This window comes from Homo sapiens, chromosome 8 (genome assembly GCF_000001405.40).
Source record: "Homo sapiens chromosome 8, GRCh38.p14 Primary Assembly".
Classification (NCBI taxonomy): domain Eukaryota; kingdom Metazoa; phylum Chordata; class Mammalia; order Primates; family Hominidae; genus Homo; species Homo sapiens.
The window spans coordinates 11,484,074-11,507,182 of record NC_000008.11 but is presented as its reverse complement, the minus strand read 5'-3'; the positions used below and the strand labels follow the sequence as shown (position 1 = coordinate 11,507,182).

At 44.9% G+C, this 23,109-nt stretch overlaps 1 protein-coding gene across 6 annotated transcripts in view, besides 15 other annotated features; it reads right to left on the bottom strand.

The window, feature by feature from the left end:
* Positions 1-12,796, bottom strand: part of BLK (BLK proto-oncogene, Src family tyrosine kinase) — a 70,213-nt gene extending 57,417 nt beyond the window's left edge. For all 6 annotated transcript variants that reach the window (XM_011543824.2, NM_001715.3, XM_011543827.2 and 3 more), the window contains exon 1: positions 12,592-12,796. The gene's annotated coding sequence lies outside the window, so the exon portion shown is untranslated. The remainder of the gene's footprint in view (positions 1-12,591) is intronic.
* Positions 321-380: an enhancer, noted in NCBI's record as "active region_27021". NCBI's record gives its function as "activates an Ori minimal core promoter by ATAC-STARR-seq in GM12878 lymphoblastoid cells {active_cell/tissue: GM12878}" and the evidence as "EXISTENCE:reporter gene assay evidence [ECO:0000049][PMID:35858748]".
* Positions 3,668-3,807: an enhancer, noted in NCBI's record as "active region_27020". NCBI's record gives its function as "activates an Ori minimal core promoter by ATAC-STARR-seq in GM12878 lymphoblastoid cells {active_cell/tissue: GM12878}" and the evidence as "EXISTENCE:reporter gene assay evidence [ECO:0000049][PMID:35858748]".
* Positions 8,142-8,221: an enhancer, noted in NCBI's record as "active region_27019". NCBI's record gives its function as "activates an Ori minimal core promoter by ATAC-STARR-seq in GM12878 lymphoblastoid cells {active_cell/tissue: GM12878}" and the evidence as "EXISTENCE:reporter gene assay evidence [ECO:0000049][PMID:35858748]".
* Positions 11,664-12,863: an enhancer, noted in NCBI's record as "CDK7 strongly-dependent group 2 enhancer chr8:11351829-11353028 (GRCh37/hg19 assembly coordinates)". NCBI's record gives its function as "activates an origin of replication core promoter dependent on BRD2, BRD4, P300/CBP, MED14 and CDK7 cofactors, with strong dependence on CDK7, by STARR-seq in HCT116 cells {active_cell/tissue: HCT116}" and the evidence as "EXISTENCE:reporter gene assay evidence [ECO:0000049][PMID:35650434]".
* Positions 11,664-14,103: a biological region, named in NCBI's record as "CDK7 strongly-dependent group 2 enhancer GRCh37_chr8:11351829-11353028". NCBI's record gives its function as "regulatory_interactions: BLK".
* Positions 12,483-14,103: a transcriptional cis regulatory region, noted in NCBI's record as "chr8:11350589-11352209 region (GRCh37/hg19 assembly coordinates) targeted for CRISPR interference". NCBI's record gives its function as "positively regulates BLK gene expression in GM12878 lymphoblastoid cells {active_cell/tissue: GM12878}" and the evidence as "EXISTENCE:mutant phenotype evidence [ECO:0000015][PMID:33828297]".
* Positions 12,485-12,574: an enhancer, noted in NCBI's record as "active region_27018". NCBI's record gives its function as "activates an Ori minimal core promoter by ATAC-STARR-seq in GM12878 lymphoblastoid cells {active_cell/tissue: GM12878}" and the evidence as "EXISTENCE:reporter gene assay evidence [ECO:0000049][PMID:35858748]".
* Positions 12,585-12,774: an enhancer, noted in NCBI's record as "active region_27017". NCBI's record gives its function as "activates an Ori minimal core promoter by ATAC-STARR-seq in GM12878 lymphoblastoid cells {active_cell/tissue: GM12878}" and the evidence as "EXISTENCE:reporter gene assay evidence [ECO:0000049][PMID:35858748]".
* Positions 14,177-15,437: a transcriptional cis regulatory region, noted in NCBI's record as "chr8:11349255-11350515 region (GRCh37/hg19 assembly coordinates) targeted for CRISPR interference". NCBI's record gives its function as "positively regulates BLK gene expression in GM12878 lymphoblastoid cells {active_cell/tissue: GM12878}" and the evidence as "EXISTENCE:mutant phenotype evidence [ECO:0000015][PMID:33828297]".
* Positions 14,865-15,014: an enhancer, noted in NCBI's record as "active region_27016". NCBI's record gives its function as "activates an Ori minimal core promoter by ATAC-STARR-seq in GM12878 lymphoblastoid cells {active_cell/tissue: GM12878}" and the evidence as "EXISTENCE:reporter gene assay evidence [ECO:0000049][PMID:35858748]".
* Positions 20,682-20,801: an enhancer, noted in NCBI's record as "active region_27015". NCBI's record gives its function as "activates an Ori minimal core promoter by ATAC-STARR-seq in GM12878 lymphoblastoid cells {active_cell/tissue: GM12878}" and the evidence as "EXISTENCE:reporter gene assay evidence [ECO:0000049][PMID:35858748]".
* Positions 21,192-21,291: a silencer, noted in NCBI's record as "silent region_18933". NCBI's record gives its function as "represses an Ori minimal core promoter by ATAC-STARR-seq in GM12878 lymphoblastoid cells {active_cell/tissue: GM12878}" and the evidence as "EXISTENCE:reporter gene assay evidence [ECO:0000049][PMID:35858748]".
* Positions 22,534-22,753: an enhancer, noted in NCBI's record as "active region_27014". NCBI's record gives its function as "activates an Ori minimal core promoter by ATAC-STARR-seq in GM12878 lymphoblastoid cells {active_cell/tissue: GM12878}" and the evidence as "EXISTENCE:reporter gene assay evidence [ECO:0000049][PMID:35858748]".
* Positions 22,764-22,813: an enhancer, noted in NCBI's record as "active region_27013". NCBI's record gives its function as "activates an Ori minimal core promoter by ATAC-STARR-seq in GM12878 lymphoblastoid cells {active_cell/tissue: GM12878}" and the evidence as "EXISTENCE:reporter gene assay evidence [ECO:0000049][PMID:35858748]".
* Positions 22,924-23,063: an enhancer, noted in NCBI's record as "active region_27012". NCBI's record gives its function as "activates an Ori minimal core promoter by ATAC-STARR-seq in GM12878 lymphoblastoid cells {active_cell/tissue: GM12878}" and the evidence as "EXISTENCE:reporter gene assay evidence [ECO:0000049][PMID:35858748]".

Genomic DNA, 23,109 nt, shown 5'->3' with positions numbered 1-23,109 from the left:
TGTTGTTACTTGGCTCCTGGCCTTGTAAAATCACAGTGTACATTTATACTGCATGTTGGAAAAAACATCAATGTCACAAGCTCAGTGATGCTTACACACTGCTCTGTCAGCAGATGGGACAGGCTACCTGCCTTTCTGAGATTGTTCTTCCTCCTATTTGTTATTTTCCCTACCCGCACCTGAACCATTCACGATGGTTCTGCACCCATTGTCACAGGAAAGCAGAAAGAGAGACAAAAGAACTTTCCTGCTTTCAGCCCGTGATGCAGATCTTTCAGCCCGTGACTGAGAGATCTTGTTGAGTCAGTTTGGGCAACCGCGTCTCAAGTGGCCTCCCTGAGAGTCCCACCTGGGGGGCCCCAGAGTGGGAGGATGCATCCCTCAACCTGGGATGTGGCCTGGAATCTCTGAGAGGGGGCTTGGCCAGGGTCAGAGGCTGACATGACATTCTAGCAGCCCCCTGCATGGACTGATGACAAAGACCAAATAGGCCACCCCAGAATTCCTGAGACTCATGAGGCTCCCAGAACTTAGACCCCACCCTGGAGAAAGGTATGAAGACCCTGAATTGAGAGGTCAGTTTCCTCTCCCCAACAGAGATGTAGCTATTACCAGATAGCTTTTCTGTTTTTGCACACCAAGCTGTGGACTGAGATTCACACTCAACATACGTAAATCCAGTCTGTCAGTCATTCACCTGAGCCCACCCACACCCCTCCAGAGGCCAGGAACGCCCTCATAAGAAGCCTAACCTGCCCTTCCACCTTCCATGAAACTAGTGCCATGGCCAACAGTTACAAGGATTCAGCACATTCTGTTGTTTTCTTTTTTTCTAAAAAATGATAAATGAGCCAACTACATCTTTCTGAGTGTCTTCAGGCTGTGACCTTGGGAAGGCAAAAAGCCCTGGCATTGTCCTCCCCTAGGTCTGCAAATAGGACATAAAACAGCTTCAAGCACATTCAAGGTCACCTTAAAGACACCCCACGATGTGGCAAAGAGACAGCTCCAGAGCCAGGCTGGTAACCTTCTGCGTGACCTCAGGAAAAGCACTCAGCTCTCCAGGTGTGCGGTGGGGAACCAGGATGAAGAGCCACGTGCACCTGGCACCTGGCCCAAAACCTGTTCTACCATCTGCCTCCCTGTTGGGCCCACTGTGGGAAGAGATTTGTCATGCCTGGCGGGGACAGGAGCAGGGCGAGAGGAAGATGGGGAGAGGTCTTATCGGAGGCAGGGACATTAGGACTGGACCTCCAAGGATACATAGAAGCTCTCTGAAGGAGATGGGCATTTCAGGCAGGGAGTGGAGTTGGCAAAAGCTCTGAAGTGTCATGTGTGCCAGGGAGTCCTCAGGGACAGGACAGATGGGCCCAGCGTGCTTGGAGAAGAAAGGAGACCCAGACTGTCCACTCCCTGGAGGCCTCAATGGGAGACTTGGCCCTTGTTCTCAAACACAGAGGAGTTTATGGTGGCTTTACCCTGTGCGGTGATAGGGCCACATTTGAGTTTTAGAAAGACCTTGGCAGCCACACATGGGATGAATTGGAGCATCAGATTCTGAAGACAGAGAAATGAGCTCCAAGGATGCGGAACTGCCCAGTCTAGAAGGGGGAGGGCCTGAACGAAAGCAATGGAGCTTGGGAGCAAATTGGAGAAAGGAGAGAACAAGTGTTATTACAACTTTGCCCTCACTCAGGGACACCGGCCAGAGGCTACAGTTGGCCCTGCATTGAGTTATGAGTGTCCAGGTCACCCTCTGGCTTGGCAGGTCACCATGCTGTGCTCAGGGACAAGGGGTGGAGGGAGCGGGTGCTGTCTCCCTTCTCCAGGCCCATTCCAAGTAGAAAACAGAGATCTCTTGCTATTTGACAACAGAAAACTTTGTACAGTAGAAAGAATAGAAAGAACTTTGTGAAGGATGATACTCAAGTGACTAGATTTCTACAAAATAGATGAGGTTTAGGAAACTTTATGGCACAGAATTTATTTGTTCAGTTTTGCTGCAATAGTATTTGTCATGGTAGGTGGTTTTGCTGTTGTTTTTGATAAGCATGTAGATGTACCTGTATGTGTGCCTGTGTATCTTTGTGTGTTCCTCTGTGTCTAGGTATTTCTACATGTCTGTGCATGTGTGTATATGTGTGGGTGTCTGTGTGTTTCTGTGTGTATTCTTATGTGTATGTGTCTGTATCTATGTGTCTGTGTGCATGTATGTGTCTGTACGTGTCTCTGTGCATGTGTGTTTGTGTGTACATATGCTCTGTATCCATTACCCCCTTGCCTGAAACATGGCCACAGAGATGTCCTCATTTTGGTGTTTCTTGTCGTAAAATCCTTGAAACAAAGTCCACATGGGCCACTTAGGCCAAACACCACATGCTGGAGAGCACCAGGGTGCCCAACACTAAATATGCCAGCACCCTTATCAGGCCTCATCTCAAGGGTGGGAACAGGGGGCACACTCCTCAGTCGCTTAGACCGTCCTCAAACAGCAAGTCACCATATTGGAGACAGTTTTTGAGCACATGCTCCATGTAGCCTGAGCTAGTAGCCCCTCCCGCCTGCAATTAACTAAAAGTATTTAGCTACGAAGACTGATAAAAGATCTTAAACGCACGTCCCTGTGATGGCATTACACACGGATAACCAGCTTCTGAAGGCGCCTACTTCTCCCCCTTCTGAAGGGCCTACTTCTTCTTCTGTGGCCCTTTCCTTGGCCACAAAGGGGTGTGGCTTTTGTGCAGGTGAATGGGATCTTTTCTTTTTTTTTTCTTTTCTTTTCTTTTCTTTTCTTTTCTTTTCTTTTCTTTTCTTTCTTCCTTCCTTCCTTCCTTCCTTCCTCCCTTCCTTTCTTTATTTTGAGATGGAATCTCGCTCTGTTGCTCAAGCTGGAGTGCAATGGTGCGATCTCAGCTCACTGCAACCTTTGCCTCCTTGGGTTCAAGCAATTCTCCTACCTCAGCCTCCTGAGTAGCTGGGATTACAGTCGCACACCACCACACCCAGCTAATTTTTGCATTTTGAGTAGAGACAGTTTCGCCATGTTGGCCAGACCAGTCTCAAACTCCTGACCTCAAGTGATCCGCCTGCCTCGGCCTCCCAAAGTACTGAGATTACAGGTGTGTGCCACTGTGCCTGGATGTGAATGGGATCTTTCTAAAGCCAGGACCTAAGCTCCAAGAAAGGCTGGGGAGACTTTAGCCCCAGGGTAGATCCCTTCATCTCCCGGCCAGGAGCCTCTCTGGGGGTAGTTTTGATTCCCACTTGCTAGTTCCCACAGGACACTTGTCTGGGTGGCAACGTGGAGTGCCGGAACCTGGAAAGATGCACTTGACCAGCAGGGGAGGGTGGAAGATGGCCCCTTTCACTGCGAGCCCAGGGCAGCCAGCAGCCTCAGCAGAGGTGAGGCCCAGGCAAGAAAGAGGACAGAGTGACCTCTTCCATCCTCCACACCTGCACATAGGAACCTCCAGTCTGGTGACCAAGAGAGCAGGTGTCTCCTTGCAAGTCTCAGCCCTCAGACCTTGCCAAGAAAGAGCACCCTTGCTTACTTCAGACAGCACACAGATCCCTGGTCCACGGCAGGAAATCACCCAGCCACATGCTCACACTGACCTGGTGGCAAAGGCCTCTCTGAAAAGGGTCACCCTGTATAAGGCTTGGGCACAGGATGGAGCAGAAAAAAATAGAGCATCTCACGTCCCACCTGACACAGGGGCAGGTGACAAAGCTGCACCTCTCCCTTTGGGAGTTACTAGTCGTCTGGGTGTGCCAGCACCCCCAGATCTTTCTGATCAGAGGAAACCAGATAAAAGCCATAAACGCACTTTGCAGAAGAGTGCCCACCTACACACAAGCTCCCATCCAAGATCAGGAGCTGACAGGCTACCAGGAGACTCATCAGAAGCCCAGGGGCTAGAAGGTCAGAACCAGCTTAATCTATTAAGTGCAGAACATCAAATGTCCTTTTAGATGCTACGTGTGGTTGTGTGCTTCACACATACACAAACATTCTCTGCACTTGAACAACCTCAAGCATCAGGGCCTCCTTCAGTTTTGCACCCCAGGTGTGTCTTTACCTCCCTCTGGTCCTGGCTCAGCATCCCAGGTATCAATCTGTGCAAAGAGGCCAGCAGAGAGTAGAGATGAGAAGGAGCCCAAGGGGACATCCTTGTATCCCATGGTTGTGGAAAACAGTAGCCGTTTTGCGAGTGGGGACTTGCGAACCCCACAGTGGCTGGCAGCAGCTGGTGTAGGGACATGACAGCCATGGGGACAGGTTCTCCATCCAGGCCCACAGGCCCACCCCCCTTCCCCTGCCACCGAGCACAAAGCAGGGTCACCCACCTGGGCCTCCGCTGTCAGGCTCGGGACTCAGGAGAGCCCAGGAGGCAAGTTATTCTCCACTTGTCCCCACTTGGCTGCAGGCAGGACCCTGATCTGCAGTGTGGCCTCAAGACACTCGGCCTCCCCGTCAGTGATGCACTGGGGGCCAGCTTGTGCCGGTATGCTAGAGCCGGTTGTTAAATTCTCAGGAATTTTGTGAGCTGAATTATTCAAATCATTATGCAAGATTAAGGTATAAAAACTATACGGGCCGGGCGTGGTGGCTCATGTCTGTAATCCCAGCAGTTTGGGAGGCCGAACTGGGCAGATCACTTGAGGTCAGGAGTTCAAGACCAGCCTGGCTAACTCTACTTAAAATACAAAAATTAGCCAGGCATGGTGGCGGGTGCCTGTAATCCCAGCTAATTGGGAGGATGAGGCAGGAGAATCCCTTAAACCCAGGAGGTGGAAGTTGCAGTGACCAGAGATCGTGCCACTGCACTGCAGCCTGGGCAACAGAGTAAGACTCCTTCTCAAAGAAAAATAAAAAAGAAAGAAAAAGAAAAAAAAACTATATAAAATTAAAATGATAAAAAATTAAAGTTGAATTATACAAGATACAACTAAATGGATTCTATTAAAACAAAGGTTATAAATACTTAAACCTCATCACTTCCTGATTATTTTTACTGCATCTTAATAATAGCTATGCTTTGAGGTTCTTTAACTGACTGTGTCTATAAGGCGGAAGTACTCTATCGTGCTGTGCTGCTGCGCATCTCGAACCCATGTTCACGCAAGTCATGTTAGCAACTTGAAATTGGCCCTGGTGGGAGTATTTATACAACAGGAACAGGCAAATGCTACAGGTCGGCAGTGATTTGTTTCATGGATTTTCTATGCTTAAAAGAGCATCTTGTCTGTAGCTAGAACACTGTGAGTAGCACAAAACATTGAGGAAACTTTTCTGAATATTGAAAAACTACTACCCAGTTCAACAAAGAAGCCGCTCATGGCACTAAGGCTGCAGCCTGCCCCAACTCTTTGTTGTTTCACTTTGATCTGCTCCTTAACATGAATGAACATTTCAGTGTTTGTGCCAACACCACACTTGCTCATCTGCTGCAACCAATGCTTGGCTACGGATATGACAGTGCAAAGTCACGAGAGCTTTCTATGAGACTCAATCACCTCTGCGGTATTTAGGACAGAGACTATTGCATATTTTGTTATTATTTGTAAATTAAGTGCTACGCATCCTTTATATCAGTACATGTTACTATAAACTTATGTATGTATACAATACATTTGTTTCCTGGAAAGCTGGTTGTTAAACGTTTACCAGGACGCCATGCTCTTCATCTACAAGATGCCTATCTTGACCTCACACTTCCCCCAGTGTGCTGGCAGGTGCCAGAGAGCCCATCAGATAGACAGACAGACAGACACCACAAAGTAGAAATGATTCCTTTCCATGCTAATGTGTTAAAAAAAAAAAAAAGAGAGAGAGTTTAGCCTTTCCCATAAAGCACCAAATAAAATCAAGAAAATGGGCTATGACTTTTGACCCTATTTTCGTGTGTAATACTTTTTAAAGGATCCTTTTATTTATTCAAATAAAATAGTAAATAAAATTAAAAGTATCATTTAATTTTTAATTTTTTTCACTCTGTCGTCCAAGCTGGAGTGCAGCGGCAGTCTCAGCTCACTGCTGAGATCTCCTGGGTTCAAGCAATTCTCCTGCCTCAGCCTTCTGAGTAGCTGGGATTACAGGTGCCTGCCACCATGCCCAGCTAATTTTTGTATTTTTGGTAGAGATGGGGTTTCACCATGTTGGCCAGGCTGGTCTCGAACCCCTGACCTCAAGCAATCCTCCCACCTTGGCCTCCCAAAGTGCTGGGATTACAGGTGTGAGCCACCACGCCTGGCCAAAATAAAAAGTATTATTTAACTTTATGTAAAAATCCAATTGCACCACAGAAATGGCAGGAATAAAAGAATCTTAAAATGAAATAATTTATATAAACTTTAACATAAAAGGTAGAGCCAGGCATGGTCACTCATGCCTGTAATCCCAGCACTTTGGGAGGCTGAGGCAGGCAGATTGCTTGAGCTCAGGAGGTTGAGACCAGCCTAGACAACATGGTAAAAACCCATCTCTACAAAAACCAAAATTAGCCAGGCGTGGTGGTGCACACCTGTGGTCCCAACTACTTGGGAGGCTGAGGTGGGAGGATTGCCTGAGCTGGGGAAGTGGAGGCTGCAGTGAGCCATGATTACACCACTGCACTCCAGCCTGGGAGGCAGAGCGAGACCCTATCTCAAACAAACAAAAACAAAATAAAACAAAACAAAAAAACAGGCCAGGTGCAGTGGTTTATGCTTGTAATCCCAACACTTTGGGAGGCCAAGGCAGGCAGATCACTTGAGGTCCAGAGTTTGAGACCAGCCTGGCCAACATGATGAAACCCTGTCTCTATCAAAAAAATACAAAAATTAGCAGGGCGTGGTGGTGCACACCTGTAGTCCTAGCTACTCGGGAGGCTGAGGTGGGAGAGTTGCTTGAACCCGGGAGGCGGAGGATGTAGTGAGCTGAGATCAAACCATTGCACTCCAGCCTGGGCAACAGAGTGAGACCTTGTCTCAAACAACAACAACAAAAACAAACACCCCCCAAATCAATCTAAGGTGGAATATGTGTAAAAATAAGCTATTTCTATAACTGTAATAGACTCACAGCTGGACATTTGACTGCAGGTTGGCTCCCTCAGTGAATTTTTCTGTTTTGTACACAGATAGGGAACTAATCCTTAGTGAGCACCCTCACTGTATATCAGGCTCTTTCAGAAATGCTGTCCTGCTTGTATTTGTTTATATATTCATTTCCTAGTGTTTCCAGAAAAGATTTGAGACCGCTTATAAAAATACATACAATACAACAGGATAGAAAAACAGATAAAGAAATTAGACCAAAGGGTAAGTTAGGGCAGAAAAAAAAATGTGTATAAAGCTGGTGCACAGAAATACAAACTGTGACATGCTGTCACCAAACTGCTAGTGGTTAGATGCAAATTGGGTTCTAAGTGTCCTGGAGTCCAAGCACAAAGAAGAAAATAATCAGTTTGAAGAGTCACAGTGTCTGTAAGACATCCATTGCTCCAGAGAGGCATGGATTTCCTGGATCTGGAGTCTGAGAGTCATCCTCTCTGGGCTTCTCCTGTGGAGGTCCTGGGTGGAATGCGAACAGCTTAACGTCATCTCAGCAATAAATTCCACTGTGAGTTTCCAACCTCTGTTTCTTATGCAGCCTTCAGCACAAGCCACGGCAGTGTACCCATGCCAAGAAAGAATGCCCACATCTGACTCAGGAAATGAGATTCTCTCAGGATCTCAAGCACTGTGAGATCCAAACACACAGCTCTTGGACTGACTATCTGGATACAGGGGAAGTTCCCAAAATATAGTTACGTATTGCTTCACTACAGGGATCTGTTCTGAAAAATGTGTCATTAGGTGATTTTGTTGTTCTGCGAACATCGTATACAAAACTTAGATGGTAGAGCCTACTCCACCCCTAGGCTCTGTGGCATAGCCGGTTGCTTCTAGGCTACACACCTACACAGCCTGCGACTGTACTAAATACTGCAGGCAGTAGTAACACAGTGGTGAATATTTGTGTCTCTAAACATAGAACAGGTACAGGCAAAATACAGTGTCTTCATCTTATGAGACCACCATCATATATGTAGTCTGTGATTGACCGAAATCTTATGTGCCCTGTGACTGTGTCTAGGTTCATGGCTCTCAATCTTACTAAATTTACTTTCTCTTTTGAGAAACAACAACACCATGCTCTCCTTTGTGAGGTTTCAAAATGAATATTGGGCATAAAAGTAAATCAAAGAAGTTGTCATGTAAGATGTGTCTTTTTGAAGTACAAGGACCCCCTGGTGGTTCTGACATTGAGAATTGAGTGCACCCTGTAAGAAAAGTTGTGTGCTCCTCAGCTTCAACTCACCTAAAAATTAGGGCTTTGTAATTTAATTCTGTTAATCCTGTGATGTGCTATTATCAATGAATGAAGAAATAAGACTGAGAGGATATAATTAACCTACCCGAGACAGGTAAGGCTGCTCGTATACAGTGGGGTCAAACTATTATCATCTCAGGAAGGCACACAGTGACTTGCTCACATTGCCAGGGCTGAACCTTGCACTGGAGCCCTCTGGTTGACAAGGCCAGCCGTCTAACCACTACACTGCAGGACGAGACCACTCAGATGTGGCTGCTTTGTCTGACTTCTATGTCCAAGTCCTTTCCACTTCCTCATATCCACAACACGCTGAGAGAGAAAATTAAAGTAGTCTTCCTAGATATTTGACTGTGTGATTCCAAATATTTTGGGGTTCACAGACCCCTTTGGGAATCTGACAAAAACTGTAAGTACCCACCTACACAAAAGCTTGTTTACAAGTTCACGGAGCTCAGAGCACCAGGAAACTCATCAGGAATCCACAGACTCAATGCTCAGAACCCACTTCATCTATTAAGCACAGAACCTCAAATGCCCTTATAGACACCACATGGCATTGTGCGTTTCACACATACACAAACTTTTCCTGCACTTGAACGACCTGAGCATGGGAGCCTCCTTACATTTTGCATCCCAGGTGTGTCTTGTTTGCCTCCCACTGGTCCAGGTTCAGCATCCTAGGTGCCAAAGTGTGCAAAAAGGCCAGCAGCTAGTTGTGATGAGAAGGAACGTGAGAAAACTTCCTTGATTACAATGTGGAAAGCACCAGCGCTTTGATGAAGGGGTTGCACAAGCCCCACAGTGGACAAGGAGGAGCCTCGTCTATGTCTTGGGCTCTGGACCCCCATTCCGTGGTTCTGTTCAGTTCTCATGTCTGTGCTTGAGAGTGGGTGCAACTGCTCCCACTTCACACTCCCAGCTGGCAGGTGCAGAGCCAGACTGACCTGGCTGGCAGGAAGCCCCAATGCTTTCATCTATACCACACTGTCTTACAGGAAGTGGAATGTGCCAGAGGCCTCAGATGCCTCTTCTCTTTCTTCCAAGGGTCCTGTCAAAACCCCAGCATGCTGATGGCACTGGGGTGCACCACGATTAGGGATGATCATTCAATTATCTTTGCTTTTCCTCTTTCAAGCTTTCATCCTCATGTCTTAACCTTGATTTTCATTTAAGGTTTTGCCCTTGTGTCTTTAACTCAAGAACCACTTTACCAGATACCCCTGGTGGGCCAGGCACTGCGCTGGGTGCTGGGACCTGGAGGCACATGTAGGGCATGTCCTTGTCCTCAGGAGCTTTGGTCCAGAGAACCTGGCAGGCCTGCAAACCAGAGCCCTGGGTGTGTGCTGGTGGTTGCTGGGGACACACAAATGGGCTTGGGCACTGTGACTGGGAGGAGACATTCGCACCTGCCCTGGACGTCAGAGCAAATGCAAGTTGCCTAGGTGGGAAGGTGGGGAAGGGATTCAGGCAAGCAGGAGCACGCCAGGGAACATTCCACAAATGGGAGGGCTGCTGTGGGGTAGCAGCAGGCTGGCAGTGGGGTAGCAGATGTGACAGGAAAGGCACTGCAGGCCCACATGTAATCACCAACTTTTAGCTGTGATTTTCCTGTAAGAGTTTTGTGATTGATTTCCATCTCAGTATGTTGAGATTTCCATCTACGTGCTGTCTTCCTGCGGCTTCATCATTTTTTCTTCCTCCTCACCTGCTTTGGAAGCTTTTCTCTAATCAGGCGCAGCATCACCTTTGAGTAGGGCTCACCCGCTCTGCTGGGCCTGCAAGAGGGGCCAGGTTTCTCTGTCTTGCTGTTACCTCTCTATACACGTGAACCCTGCAAGCCAGGATGCTGGCCACCGGTGGCCAGTCCCCAAGGCTGCAGACCCCAGGCTGCAGGTGGGCTCACAAGGTCAGAATCCTCACTCAAATGGGATCTGGCCCTTTGAGTCCCCTCTCTACATCCTAGAGGCCACAGTTTACTCTCGAGGAAGGGCTGTCGAGCCCAGCTCACAGCCACTTGGCTGACCAGATTCTGTGGGGTGGTTGAGCCCAGAGGACGGCAGATTCCTGGCTGGAATTCTGTACTCCCCCAGGGGCCTGGGTCCTCATTCTCTCCATTCCTGGCTTTCTGCTTCCTTCCTGGAGAGGAGTCAGGTCTGGGTAGCTGGGCCTGTGCTTGGGGTGCCAGGAGCCTGCACCAGTGCAGTGAGCTTCGCTGGGCAGATGAGAGTGTATTCCGTCCTGCAGCCCCTGCCACAGAGCAAAGGCTCAAAAATGCATGCTGGGCCAGTCACAGTGACTCATGCCTGCAATCCCAGCACTGTGGGAGGCCAAAGTGGGAGGATGGCTTGAAGCCAGGGGTTGGAGATCAGCCCAGGCAACAAAGCGAGACCCCATCTCTTCAAAAAATAAGATTAAAAAATTAGCCAGATACAGTGGCGTACCTGTGGTCCCAGCTACTCAGGAGGCTGAGTTGGGAGGATCGCTTGAGCCCAGGAGGTCAGTGCTGCAGTGAGCGATGATCTCTTGCCACTGCACTCCAGCCTGGGCAACAGAGCAAGACCCCATCTCTGAAAAACAAAAAACATAAACGAAAAACAACCCCCACAAAACCCATTGGACACCAACAACAACAATATAATCATCCATGAGAAATACTATGAAGAGAGGCAAATACAGAGCTATTCTGGAATCAGGTAGGGGTTGGGAGAGAGAATGATGGATGGTCAAAAATTCAAAAGGCCTGCTATATTCCAGAATGTTCAAAGAGAAGGTGTGATCACCAGGCCATGAACGCCAGTTTTCCCAAGAATGCTCAGGATTTGGCTACTCCTGCTCTGAGGAAGAATGAGTCTAATTTTTTTTAACTCTTTATTTTGCAGTAATTTTAGATTTGGAGAAAAATTACAAGGGATAGCACAGAGAATTTCCATATTTCCTTCACCAGGTTCTTCTAATGTGAACACCTTACGTAACCATGGTACATTTGCCAGAACTAAGCAGTAATTGTTACCACAATATTAGCGAGACCCCAGGTCTTGTTAAAATTTCACCTATTTTTCCACTAATGACCTTTGCGGTGTTGCTTTAGGATCCAATACAGGATGCGAATTCTGGGTTTGGGTGTCCTGACCATCATGTCTCCTCTGATCTGTGACGCTTTGCCTGTCTTTCTTTGTTTTTCATGACCTTGACATTTTTGAAGGTGAAATATGTTGTGGAATCTTCCCCAGTTTGGATTTGTCTGATGTTTTCTCATGATTTGACTGGGGTTATGAGTTGGTGGGAAGAACCGCACTGTCGTGGCAGTTCACAATAGCAGCCCAGCTTATTCCCGGTGATGCTAAGCTTGGTCCCTTGGTGAAGCTGGCATCTGCAGGTTTCTCCTCTACAGAGCTACTATTTCTCCCTTTCCATACTCTTAGTCCAAACCTCACTCAAGGTGAGGGGAATTAAGTCCCACTCTCCCGAGGGAGGAGGATATGCACATATCACAGCAATTTCTTCTGTTACTGCAAACGCACAATTCCTTAGTTCCTTGGTAATGTGGGTGGATGAGGGTGAACTTCATCCACCCGCATTACCAGATAAATGGAAACGTTGTCAAAACCTTACAATTTACACAAATCCTTTCAAAATATGTGATCAACTATGCTTTCCTTTTCACAGTTGGTGTTTCCTGGTGAAATAGATCTCTTAAACAAGAAGATCATCATTACATCTATTCAGTTACCCCATTCCTGAATGCCTGAAAAATGGAACAACTTCATTCAGAAACAAACAAATAAAACGAAAGCAACAGTCATTTGCCTTGAGCCAGATGCTCCCCGCCTGTGACCACTAACCTCTGTCAGCTCTGCACAGTCAATATCACCTCCTATCAAGAGGCCGAGTGACTCGCCGGGAGCGCAGCAGTGGCCTGTGTGTGCCCGCTCAACCCCCTCTCTACATCCCACGTCCCTTCTCTCCTCTGTGGCACATTCACTGCCTTTTCCAAAAAGCAGAATCTACCCTGGATGGATGACCTTTTATAAATTAAAAATTCTCAAAACTGGAAATGCACAAACCATGGAGCAATCTATTCATAGCTGAGGCAGCGATCCATTCATGCCTCTTCCTCCGTCTGTGGCACCCACAGCAATGTCCTTGCTTGCTTGCCCCACTACAGGCCTTACAGCACCATTTGCACAATTTAAAGGAAGACGATAAAGAACCCGGAAGACGCAGGGCCTCACCTTGGCAATGCTTCAGTGGTGTTTCACCATAGCTCTTCAGATCCTGACACCCTTACAGTGGAGCAGGCTCCTAGCGACAACGAGCAACTTCCAACACCATCCTAAAGCAAAAGCCAGTCCCAGATGAATTCTTCTCATCTCAATCAGTTTTCATGGCTTGTGGCTTTCTGCCGGCAGCAGACAGAGGTGGCAGCACCCCCGGTCTGCGATCAGAGCCTCCCCAGTCCCCAGTGAGCAAGTGCAACAGGGGCCCCGCCCTCCAGCCGAGCCCTTCTGAAGCTCCTGTGGGCTCCCTGGGTTTGGGGGTATCCCTCTGCTCCAGGAAAACTCGTGAGGAAGGACCATGAGCAGCTGCCCTGTCCCTGGCCCTGGGCAACGTGGGTCACAATGCCCTTCTGTCACCAGAAAGTTTTCTCCTGGGGTTTTGGTTTAACAGCACGGCTGGTATTTTTTCTGCACCAAGTCCGGCAGAGTTAGCAAACCTCCATGCTGACTCTACAAGGTAATTTGCCCTGCCGTGTGGACAAACGCTGCAGATCTCATGGAGAGGGCTTGGGCTCTGCCATGTGCCATCTGTGTGCACCAGGGCAGCCGTTCTTTCAGCCTCACTGGTTTTGCTTTGTCTTTAAATGATGCTAATAATAGCTAGCTCACAGGATACTATCAGCATTAAATGGTAGAATGGGTATGAATGGTGGGCATAGAATTGGTGTTTGGTAAAAGCTAATTTCCCATGTGTTTTACAGTACCCTAGCCAGTAGTTAGTTGACTTGGATCTCAGAGCCTCTTCAATGGTGGAAATTTGCTTGGCTATGAAAACTCAGAGGAGTAGAGAACAAGAATAATGGAGGTAACGGGAGAAGGATCCCAACATCTAGAGTGGTGAGTGGTGTCTGGAGTGGTGGGTGGCATCCTGTACACAGCAGTCAAAGGACCAATGGGACCAAGAAGGCTTCTGTGATGACGTCAGAGTCTTGCTGGTCCAGCCAGACACAGTGAGCCACTGGTCAGCTGGTTCCTTTCCACTAGTGTCTTGATATTGGCTTATAAGAGGAAGTCACTCGGTGGGCTCTCTCTTCTCCCTTCATAGTCTTGGATCCTTGAGAGTGGGTGTGGGAGGCAGACAGGGTAGCTTCTACCCCATGGTCCAGAATGTCAGCTTTCTCAAGGAGTTCATTTCCTTGGATTGGACTGAGACAATACTGAGCTATGAGTTGCAGGTTTGACAGGTGTTCATGTCAATAGACGCAGCAACGCAGAGTTCTGGGGTTTTAAGACACTATGGAAATAATCTGTTTCACTTCCCCAAGGGGTTTTGTGAGAATAAATGGATTCATGCATAAAAAGTATCTATTACAGTATTTAGCACATAATAAACTGCAAATACCTGGAAGCTGATGTGAATGTGGCTAATTGCTTTAAATCCCAAAGCTGATCTTCTCCACGTGGTAGCAGAGGGCTCACAACAATGTCCAGAACCCTGGGCCTGCTCAGTCCATGGCAGCTCCTGTTAATTTACTCTTACATTCACTTCCTGATACCTACTACATGGATCCAAACATGAAACATGAGTTCCAAACTCTGCGAGCTTCTGATTTAAAAAGTGACTGATTTGAGATGAGGTAACTTAGTCTTCCTATTTCAATTCAATTAATGCAGCACTGTTTTTCTGAACACCTGCTCTGTGCTAAGCACCTGCTGGAGGCTGGGGATACCAACGCAGCTACACTCCATCCTCCTCTGAGAGTCTCAGCCTAAGGAGCTTGGAGAAGGGGCCTGATAAGCAGATCACTGCAGTGGAGCGTAGTAGATGTAGCCACAGAGGCCTCAACGGGGCACAGTGCTAGACCAGAGGCGGAGGCAATAATTCTATCAGGGGTCACTGGGGGAAGCTGCCAAGGAGAAGGCTTTGAACATGATTCGTGACTAAGACTCCTACAGACTCTCAGAGACAGATCCCTAGGCTGAGTCTTTTACTGAACCAGGATGTTGTGACGCTGCCTGAACCGCCTCTAACATTTTTTCAATAGGGCCTAAATAGCTGACGTTTGGACAACTTTTATATACTTGGACTTGAGGGTATAGAGAATGTAGTGGAGAGCAGGAAACCCAGCATCCTACAAAGAAAATACATGGTCTGTCTACCCAAGGTTAGAGTGGGAGGGGATGTGAGAGTTTGCAGGGAGGTGTGCTGGCCCTTATGTGATCTGTGATAAGACATCACCTTTATGCCCACCCCAACAGACAGAGGTTGGAAAATAACAATACCAGACACACACACACACACACACACACACACACACACACACACACACACACGATTCCAGCAGCCACTCAGAAAGAAAACAAGGAAATGACTTTGCTCATGGGTTCCAGATGTCTGAGCAGAAGTGAAAGTTAATTTCAGCCATTTTCACCCTCACAGTCACGGGCCCATGAGAAAGGCGGAAGAGAGGTGGGGAAAGGACCCCGGGGAGAAGATGGGAACAGTGACACTTGTTAGGGGAGGCTGGGGAGCCTTTTGGTAGAAAACCTCAAAGCGGTTTTCTCAAGGCGGGACTGAGACTAGACCCTAGCTCTGAAACGCCCAGTTCAGCGTTCAGCATCACTGGTTCTGCCATTTATTTTTGTACATTTGAGGTGACTTATGCAAAATTCAGCTCTCCTTCCATGTGCCTTCACCAGCCTCCTAATATCAGTACATCTCTGATCAAAATCAAAAGCTGTAGGCAATAAAGTAAGTGGAAGAAACATAAAACCAATCCAGTCCAAGATTCACCTCAGAAGGGTCTAAGAAGTTGGCCAATTTCTTTTTGAAGAAAACAAGTATAAAACTAGACAAAATTGTCAGAAACAACAATTTCTGGGTACTAGAAAATGTTTGTTTCTGGGTACTAGAAAAACCAAAAGCAGACAATGATCTGATAAGTGTTTAATCTTAAAAATGGCCTGCATCAGAATGGCCATGAGTCTACGGACATCTTGCCTGAAGCTCCCCAGCCCCTGGCCTGAGTGAGGAAAAGCACAGGTTACCTAATGGGAATGGTGGACTTGGTTTGAGGGCTGTCACTGAAAACCAGTAGCTAGGCAGGGAGCGGTGGCTTAAGCCTGCAATCACAACACTTTGGGAGGCTGAGGGCGGGGCAGATCACTTGAGGTCAGGAGTTCGAGACCAGCCTGGACAACATGGTGAAACCCCATCTCTACTAAAAATACAAAAATTATTTCGGTGTGGTGGTGGGTACCTGTAGTCCTAGCTACTAGGGAGGCTGAGGCACAGGAATCGCTTGAACCCGGGAGGCAGAGGTTGCAGTGAGCTGAGATCGCACCACTGCAATCCAGCCTGGGTGACAGAGCGAGACTCCACCTCAAACATAAATTAAATAAATAAATAGATAAAAAGAAAACTAGTAGCTATACCAGCAGAAGTTGGTAGATTTGGTCTGGGATGGGGGAGATGAGAATCTGCATTTTATGGGTTAAAGTTCATGGAATCAGTTCTAGGGAGAAAATAAAAATCTGCAGCTTTACTGGCTTGAGATTATAGCTTCTTTTCATGGTAGACAGGAGATCAGCCAGAATTGTGATGAGAACTTGGAAGTAAGCAAGCCATGAGAGGGCTGGGACAATAAACTCCCTGCACATCTCTGACTAGGGAAGAAACCCAAAAAGGCAGCAAAAAGTGAGAGCCAAGGGAGACCTGACGATGTGCAAAAATTTTTTTGTTTAGTTTAAAATTTATTTGTTTTTATGTATTTAAGGGGTACAAGTGCATGTTTCTTACAATGCATATATTGCATAGTGGCGAAGTCTGGGTTTTTAGTGTGCCCATCACCTAAATGGTAAACATTGTACCCAATAGGTAGTTTTTTTTTTCCTTCTTTGAGACAGGGTCTCACTCTGTCCCCCAAGCTGGAGTGCCATAATGTAGTCACAGCTCATTACAGCCTTGACTTCCTGGGCTCAAGTGATCCTCTCATCTCAGCCTCCAAGTAGCTGGGACCACAGGCACATGCCACCACACCCAGCTAGTGTTTTGTATTTTTTGTAGAGACAGGGTTTTGCCACAAAAAGTACCTATCGGAACAAATAGGTACTTTTTCAACCCTCACCCCTGTCTCACCCTCCCACCTTCCGTGAGGACTTGTACATGTGAATGTGTTTCTTCGGCCACACACAGCTCTGGCAGCAGAAGATGGGAGGCTTAGTTGTTCAAGGTACCTGAGCATAACTTCTGTCTAAATAATTGTCTCATCATCATATAATACAAGAATAGAGGACACCTTTAGGGAGCCAGACTGAAAAACAAAGAAAAATATTATAATAAAAACTGCACTGTAGTATCAGTGGCTGCACACCATGGAGGAGATTAATTCTGCAATTTAAGTCCAGAAAAGTTACTAAAACAGAAAACCAACAACTTTTAGGAAAGTGAATGGAGTCTAGAATCACTGCAATGTCTAGTTTTCAACCAGAAATTACTAGACATACAATGAAACAGGAAAGTGTGACCAGAAAAACCAACACAGACAGTAGATTAAGACACAACTTCAAAGAAGTTGTTATAGCTATGCTCAAGGAATTAAGGAAAAATGTTCAAAGAATTAAAGAAAATTTTGTTAACAGTGAACCAATAGATACTTTGGATAGATAGATGAAAATTATAAAAAAGGAATCACATGGGATTTCTACAGCTGAAAATTACAAAAATTCACTACATGGGTTCAAGAGCGGATCTGAGACGGCAGAAGAAAGAAGCTGTACATTTGAAGATAGAGCAGAAGTTATGCAATCCAAAGAACAGAGAACGAAAAGTTAAGTAAACAGAGCCTTAGAGACCTGCCAGACAATATAAAGTGTTCAAACACAAATGTAATAGGAGTCCCAAAAGGAGAGGAAAGAGAAAGAGGCACAGAACAATTATTTTTTTAAAAAGTTGAAAAGTCTCCATGTGAGTAAATACCATTAACTTACAGAGTCAAGAAACTGAATAAACCCAAGGTAAAAAACAAAAACAAAAACAAAACAAAAAAAAACTTAAAGAGAATCACACCTAGATGTCATAGTCAAAATGCCAAAAGCCAAATAAAGGAGATAACATTGCAAGCACTAAGAGAAAGAGAGAGAAACAGAGATACATCACATTAAAGACAACATGATTGGTGGTTGACTTCTCATCAGAAATAACGGTGACTGGAAGGTGGTGGAATGACATGTTTAAAGTGCTGAAAGAACAACAAAAACAAGAACAAGAACTTTCACCTACAAATTTACTATCTGATAAAACTACCCTTCAAAAATTGAGGTGAAATAAATATTTTTCCAGATAAACAAAACAGGGAATTTAGTTCTGTTGGACTTACACTACAAGAAAAGTTAAAGGCAGTCCTTTAAAATGAAAGAAATTAATATCAGATAGTAAACCAGTTCACAGAAAGAAAAGAAGAGCACTGGGAATGGTAAGCATGTAGGTAAAGTGAAAATATATAATATAATAAAAATATAAAATGTATATGTATACATTACTTTTTCTTGTCTTATTTTAAAACACACACACAATTATTTAAATCAGAAATTATAATGCCATACTGTGGTTTTATAACTGTGGGTTTATAACACAGTATGGCATATGTACAAATAGAATATACATGACAATAACAGCACAGAGGAGGGAGGGTAAGAAATGAAGCTATAATTGTGCAGTTTTTATTTTTCACCAAAAAAAGTAAATCGGTATGAATTTAAAGTAGATTATGATAAATTGAAGATGCATATTGTAATCCCTGCAGCAACTACTAAGGAAAAAAGATTTAAAGAAACAGAGTTAAAAAAATAAACAGAAGAATTTAAATGGTGTACTAAAAATATTTTAATATAAAAGTAGTTGGCCAAGCATGGTGGCTTACGCATGTAATCCCAGCACTTTGGGAGGCTAATGTAGGAGGATTGCTTGAGCCAGGAGTGCAAGACCAGCCTGGGCAACACGGCAAAACCCTGTCTCTACAAAAAATACAAAAATTAATCGGGAGTAGCTGCGGTCCTAGCTACTCAGGTGTCTGAGATGGAAAGATCATTCGAGCCTGGGAGGTAGAGGTTGCAGTGAGCCATGATTGTGCCACTGCACTCCAGCCTGAGTGACAGAGTGAGACCCTGTCTCAAAGATAAATTAAAAATAAAATAATAAAACTAGTCAAAGAATAATAGAGGAACAAAAAAGACATGACAAGTAGAAAAAATAACAAAATTCTAAATCTAAATCCAAACATAAAAAATTTTATTAAATTTAAAAGAATTAAACACTCCAATCAAAATGCAAAGACTGTTAGACTGAAAAGAAAGCAAGACCCAATTCTATGCTGGCTACAAAAAATAAACTTTAAATTCAAAGACAAACAGATTAAAAGTAAAAGGATCCAAAAAAACTACATACCATGTGAACAATAAATACATTACAACTGGGGTGCCTATATTAATATCAGGCAAAATAGAATTTAAGATAACACATATTACTGGGAAAAAAGGGTGACTTCATAATAAGAAAAGAGCAAGCAATAGCCAGAGCTGTCAAAATTATGTTCATGTACCTTTTTAAAAAGTCCTAAAACACGTGAGGCAAAATCTGACTGAACTAAAAAGTTCAATACACAATATACCAATGATAGTTGAAGATTTTGATAATTTTCTTCCAGTAATTGATAGAACAAGTGGAGAGAAAGTCAGAAAGGATAAAAAAGATCTGAACAACATTATCAAACAACTTGATTAAACTGACATATATTAGCAATCCACCCAGAATATCCATTATTTTCAAGCTTACATAAAACATCACCAGGATAGACCCTATGTAAGCCATAGGGTCTTAAAGAAAGTCTCAATGACTATAAAAGGAGTAAAATTAAACAAAGTATCTTCTCCAACCATAATGGAATTAAATTAGAAATCAATAACAGAAATAATTTTGTTAAATTTATTTGGTGTAAATTTGTTTGGTGTAAATTAAATGACACACTTCTAAATAACCCCAAAGAAGAAATTAAATGAAAAATTAAGAAACACATTGACCTGAGTCAAAATGAAAGTATAGCACATAAAATTTTATGGCAGCAGCTAAAAAATTAGAGGGAAATTTATAGCTATAAATATTAATACTAGAAAAAATACAAGGTTGGTCTACAATCACTGAAAAAGAAGAACAAGTGAAACACAATGTAAGTAAAAGGAAATTAATGAATTAGAGCAGAAATCAATGAAATAGAAGACAAATAAAAAAAGAGATAATCAGTGAAACCAAATATGGGCTTGATAAAACTAGCTATCAACAAAGAAAAGAGAAGATTCTATTTTCATCACAGAATCTCCAGAAATTTCAGGAATTAGAAGTGAGGGTAAGTTTTCACTTCTCTCTCTCGTCTTCTGGAACTTACAGAATGTGTATTTGTTTCACTTGATGCTATACCATAAATCTCATAGGATTTCTTTATTTTTTTAAATTCTTTTTCATGCCTCTGACTGTAATTTCAAATTACTTGTCTTCGAGTTAACTGATTCTTCTGTGCAAGTCTGCTGTTGAAGCTCTCTACTGCATTTTTCATTTCATTGATGGTATCCTGCAACTCCAGAATTTCTGCTTGGTTCTTTTTTTTTTTTTTTTTTTAATTATTTCTATCTCCTGAACATCTCCTTTTGTTCATGTACTCTTTTCCTGAGTTCAGGAACTCTGTTTTCTTGTAACTCACTGAGCTTCTTTAAAATGATATTTTGAATTCTTTGTCAGGAAATTCATAGATCTCAATTTTGAGGGGGTTATTCACTAGATATTTATTGTGTTAATTTGTTGCTGTCATGTTTCCTTGATTTTTTGGTGCACCTTTTACCCTTGCCTTGTGCCTTCACATAAAGGAGTAGCCACCTCTTCCAGACTTTACAAACCAGCTTTGGTAGGAAAAGGCCTTTACCTATGGGTGGGCACAAGGGCACTGGCTGGAAAGGGCGTGAGCAGTGCTGGGTTTGGCACAAGGTCCAGGGATGCTGATTCTAAGGCATGCAGAGGTGCCATTTCTGGGTGCACATGGTGATGCTAGGTCTGGCCAGTGGGCACATGGCCACCATTAGTGATGGGTCTGATTGGTGGGTACATATACAATGCGATGGGGTGCAAGAATGCACATGGTGGTGACTCCAGCCCTGGGGGAGGCATAGTGGTGACTCAGGTCCCAGGAAAGGAGCAGTGATGGCTCTGGCTCTGGAGGGCACAGTGCTATGGACTTTGGGCAGCTCTGTCAGCTAGGATGAGCATTGGCGAAGACTCTGTGGTATTCAGTGGCAAAGGCTGCAGGTGCCTGTTGCAGCAAGCAACAGCAGTAAGGGCTGTTAGTGTCCTCAGTTGTAAAGGTTTCCAGGGTCCTGCTATCCTTTTTTCCTATTGGAGGAAGTTGTGACCAAGGGTGTACCTCTTGGCATCCGAGCTGTGCCAGCTTGGGATTGGGGTGATGCAAATGAAATGCTTCCAGCAGTTTTCTCCGTGGCTGTCCTCTGTTATTGCAATCCACTGGGGTGTTGCAGCTTTCTAATTATACTTTGGAGTTCTCTCAGAGCCATTTTCATACATGGGTAGTTGTTAAATCATAGTTGTTATGGGTGAACAGGGGTGGGACTGCCTAGTCTGCCTTTTTGCTGATACCACTTCATCTCTATTTCATTTTCCAAAGTTGGTTTTGACCAACTAAGTTGATTTTCACTACCACTCAGCCATCAAGCCTCACAGGGCAAAAAAACAAAAATAAACCCCCCAAAACCACTGGTGTGGAGTGTTCAGAAGGAACTTTTTTCAGCCTTGGAAGCAACTGAGTCCAACAGGATGAGCACTTTACCATCACGCATCTCAAAGTTGAAATTTTAGTTTCATAAACTTACCAGCTGTGAGATTCCAGCTGTGTCAATTCACCACTGAGCCTCAGTTTTCTCAAAAACTGAGATTACAAGAGTTCCTAGAGTTCTTCTGAGAGCAGGCTGTAAAGTGGCTGGCCCTCAAAAGGCAGTCAGAAAATGTTCATTGCCTTTTCTTTTAAATTAAAGGCAAGATGCATGAATAGTGTGGGTCTTTACATGTGTGTCGTCATGTGTCTCTGAAAAAGCTTAATGGTTAACACCTTGGATTCTAGAGCAAGACTCCCTGGACTCGAACGCTGCCACAGACATTCAACAGCTCCAAGAATTGGAAAAGTTGCCCAACCTAGCCGTGGTTAGTTTCCTAGCCTTAAAATGGGGATAGTAGTAATACCTATCTCTTTGTGAGGATTCTACAAGCTGAAGTATACAAAGCATTTAGAATTGTTTCTGACATACAAGACATTTACCGTCGTCACTGTAGCCATGGTGACTGAACACATGAAATGAATGACAGTCAGGAGGGAAACAAGGCTCCTTTATTCTGAACTGAGGTAAAGGAGGGACTCAGAGGGACTCAGTGATTTCCCTTCCCTTCCCTTCCCTTGTCTTCCTCCCTCTCCCTCTGTCTTTCTTTCTCCCTTCCTTCCCTCCCTCCCTCTCCCTCCCTCCTTCCCTCCCTCCCTCCCTCCCTCCCTTCCTTCCTTCCTTCTTTCCTTCCTTCCTTCCTTCCTTCTTTCTTTCTTTCGTTCTCACTCTGTTGCCCAGCCTGGAGTGCAGTGGTATGATCATAGCTCATCACGGCCTCGACCTCCCAGGCTCAAGTGACCCTGTCACCTTACCCTCACAAGTAGCTGGGGCTACAGTTGCATGTCACTTTGCCTGGCTTCTTTTTAAAAACTTTTCATAGAGACAGGGTCTCGTCATGTTGCCCAGGCTGGAAACTCAGTTATTTCTAAAGTCCTCCTAAAGTCTGTATTCTGCACATCTCGAAATTCTGTGGATAGAGTTTGTTATGAAGGGCATTGTGTTTCCCTAAAATTCATATGTTGGAGCTCTGACCCTAGCACCTCAGAATGACTATACTTCGGGATAGAGCCCTAAAGGGGTGATTACATTAAAATGAGTTATTTCAGGAGGGCCTGTGTCCAACCTGACTGGTGTCCTTATAAGATGAGGAAGCATATAGAGACACCAGGGATGTGTATGAACAGAGGAGAGACAGTGTGAGAACACGGGGGGAAAGACAGCTGTCTGCAAGTCAAGGAGAGAGGACTCAGAAGAAACCAAACCAGCAGGCACTTTGATCTTGGACTTCCAGCCTCCAGAACTGTAAGACAATAACCTTCTATTGTTTAAGCCACCCAGTCTTGTGGCATTTTGTTATGGCAGCCTGAGCAGACTGGTATAGAGTTCCATGGACAGCCATAGGCTGAGTACTTTAAGCCGACTGCCTACTCTCTGAGACAGTAGACAAAATAGTTTGGGGGCAATCTGTAGAAGACTGTGGATGCTGTTGTTTTTAGTTTTGCCTCAGTGTTTTGTTTGGTTGGTGTTTTTGTCCACCTTTCAAAATTCCCCGTCCCCCTTCCTCCGGTAAGAACAGTGCTCCCTGGTCACAGGGGACAGTAA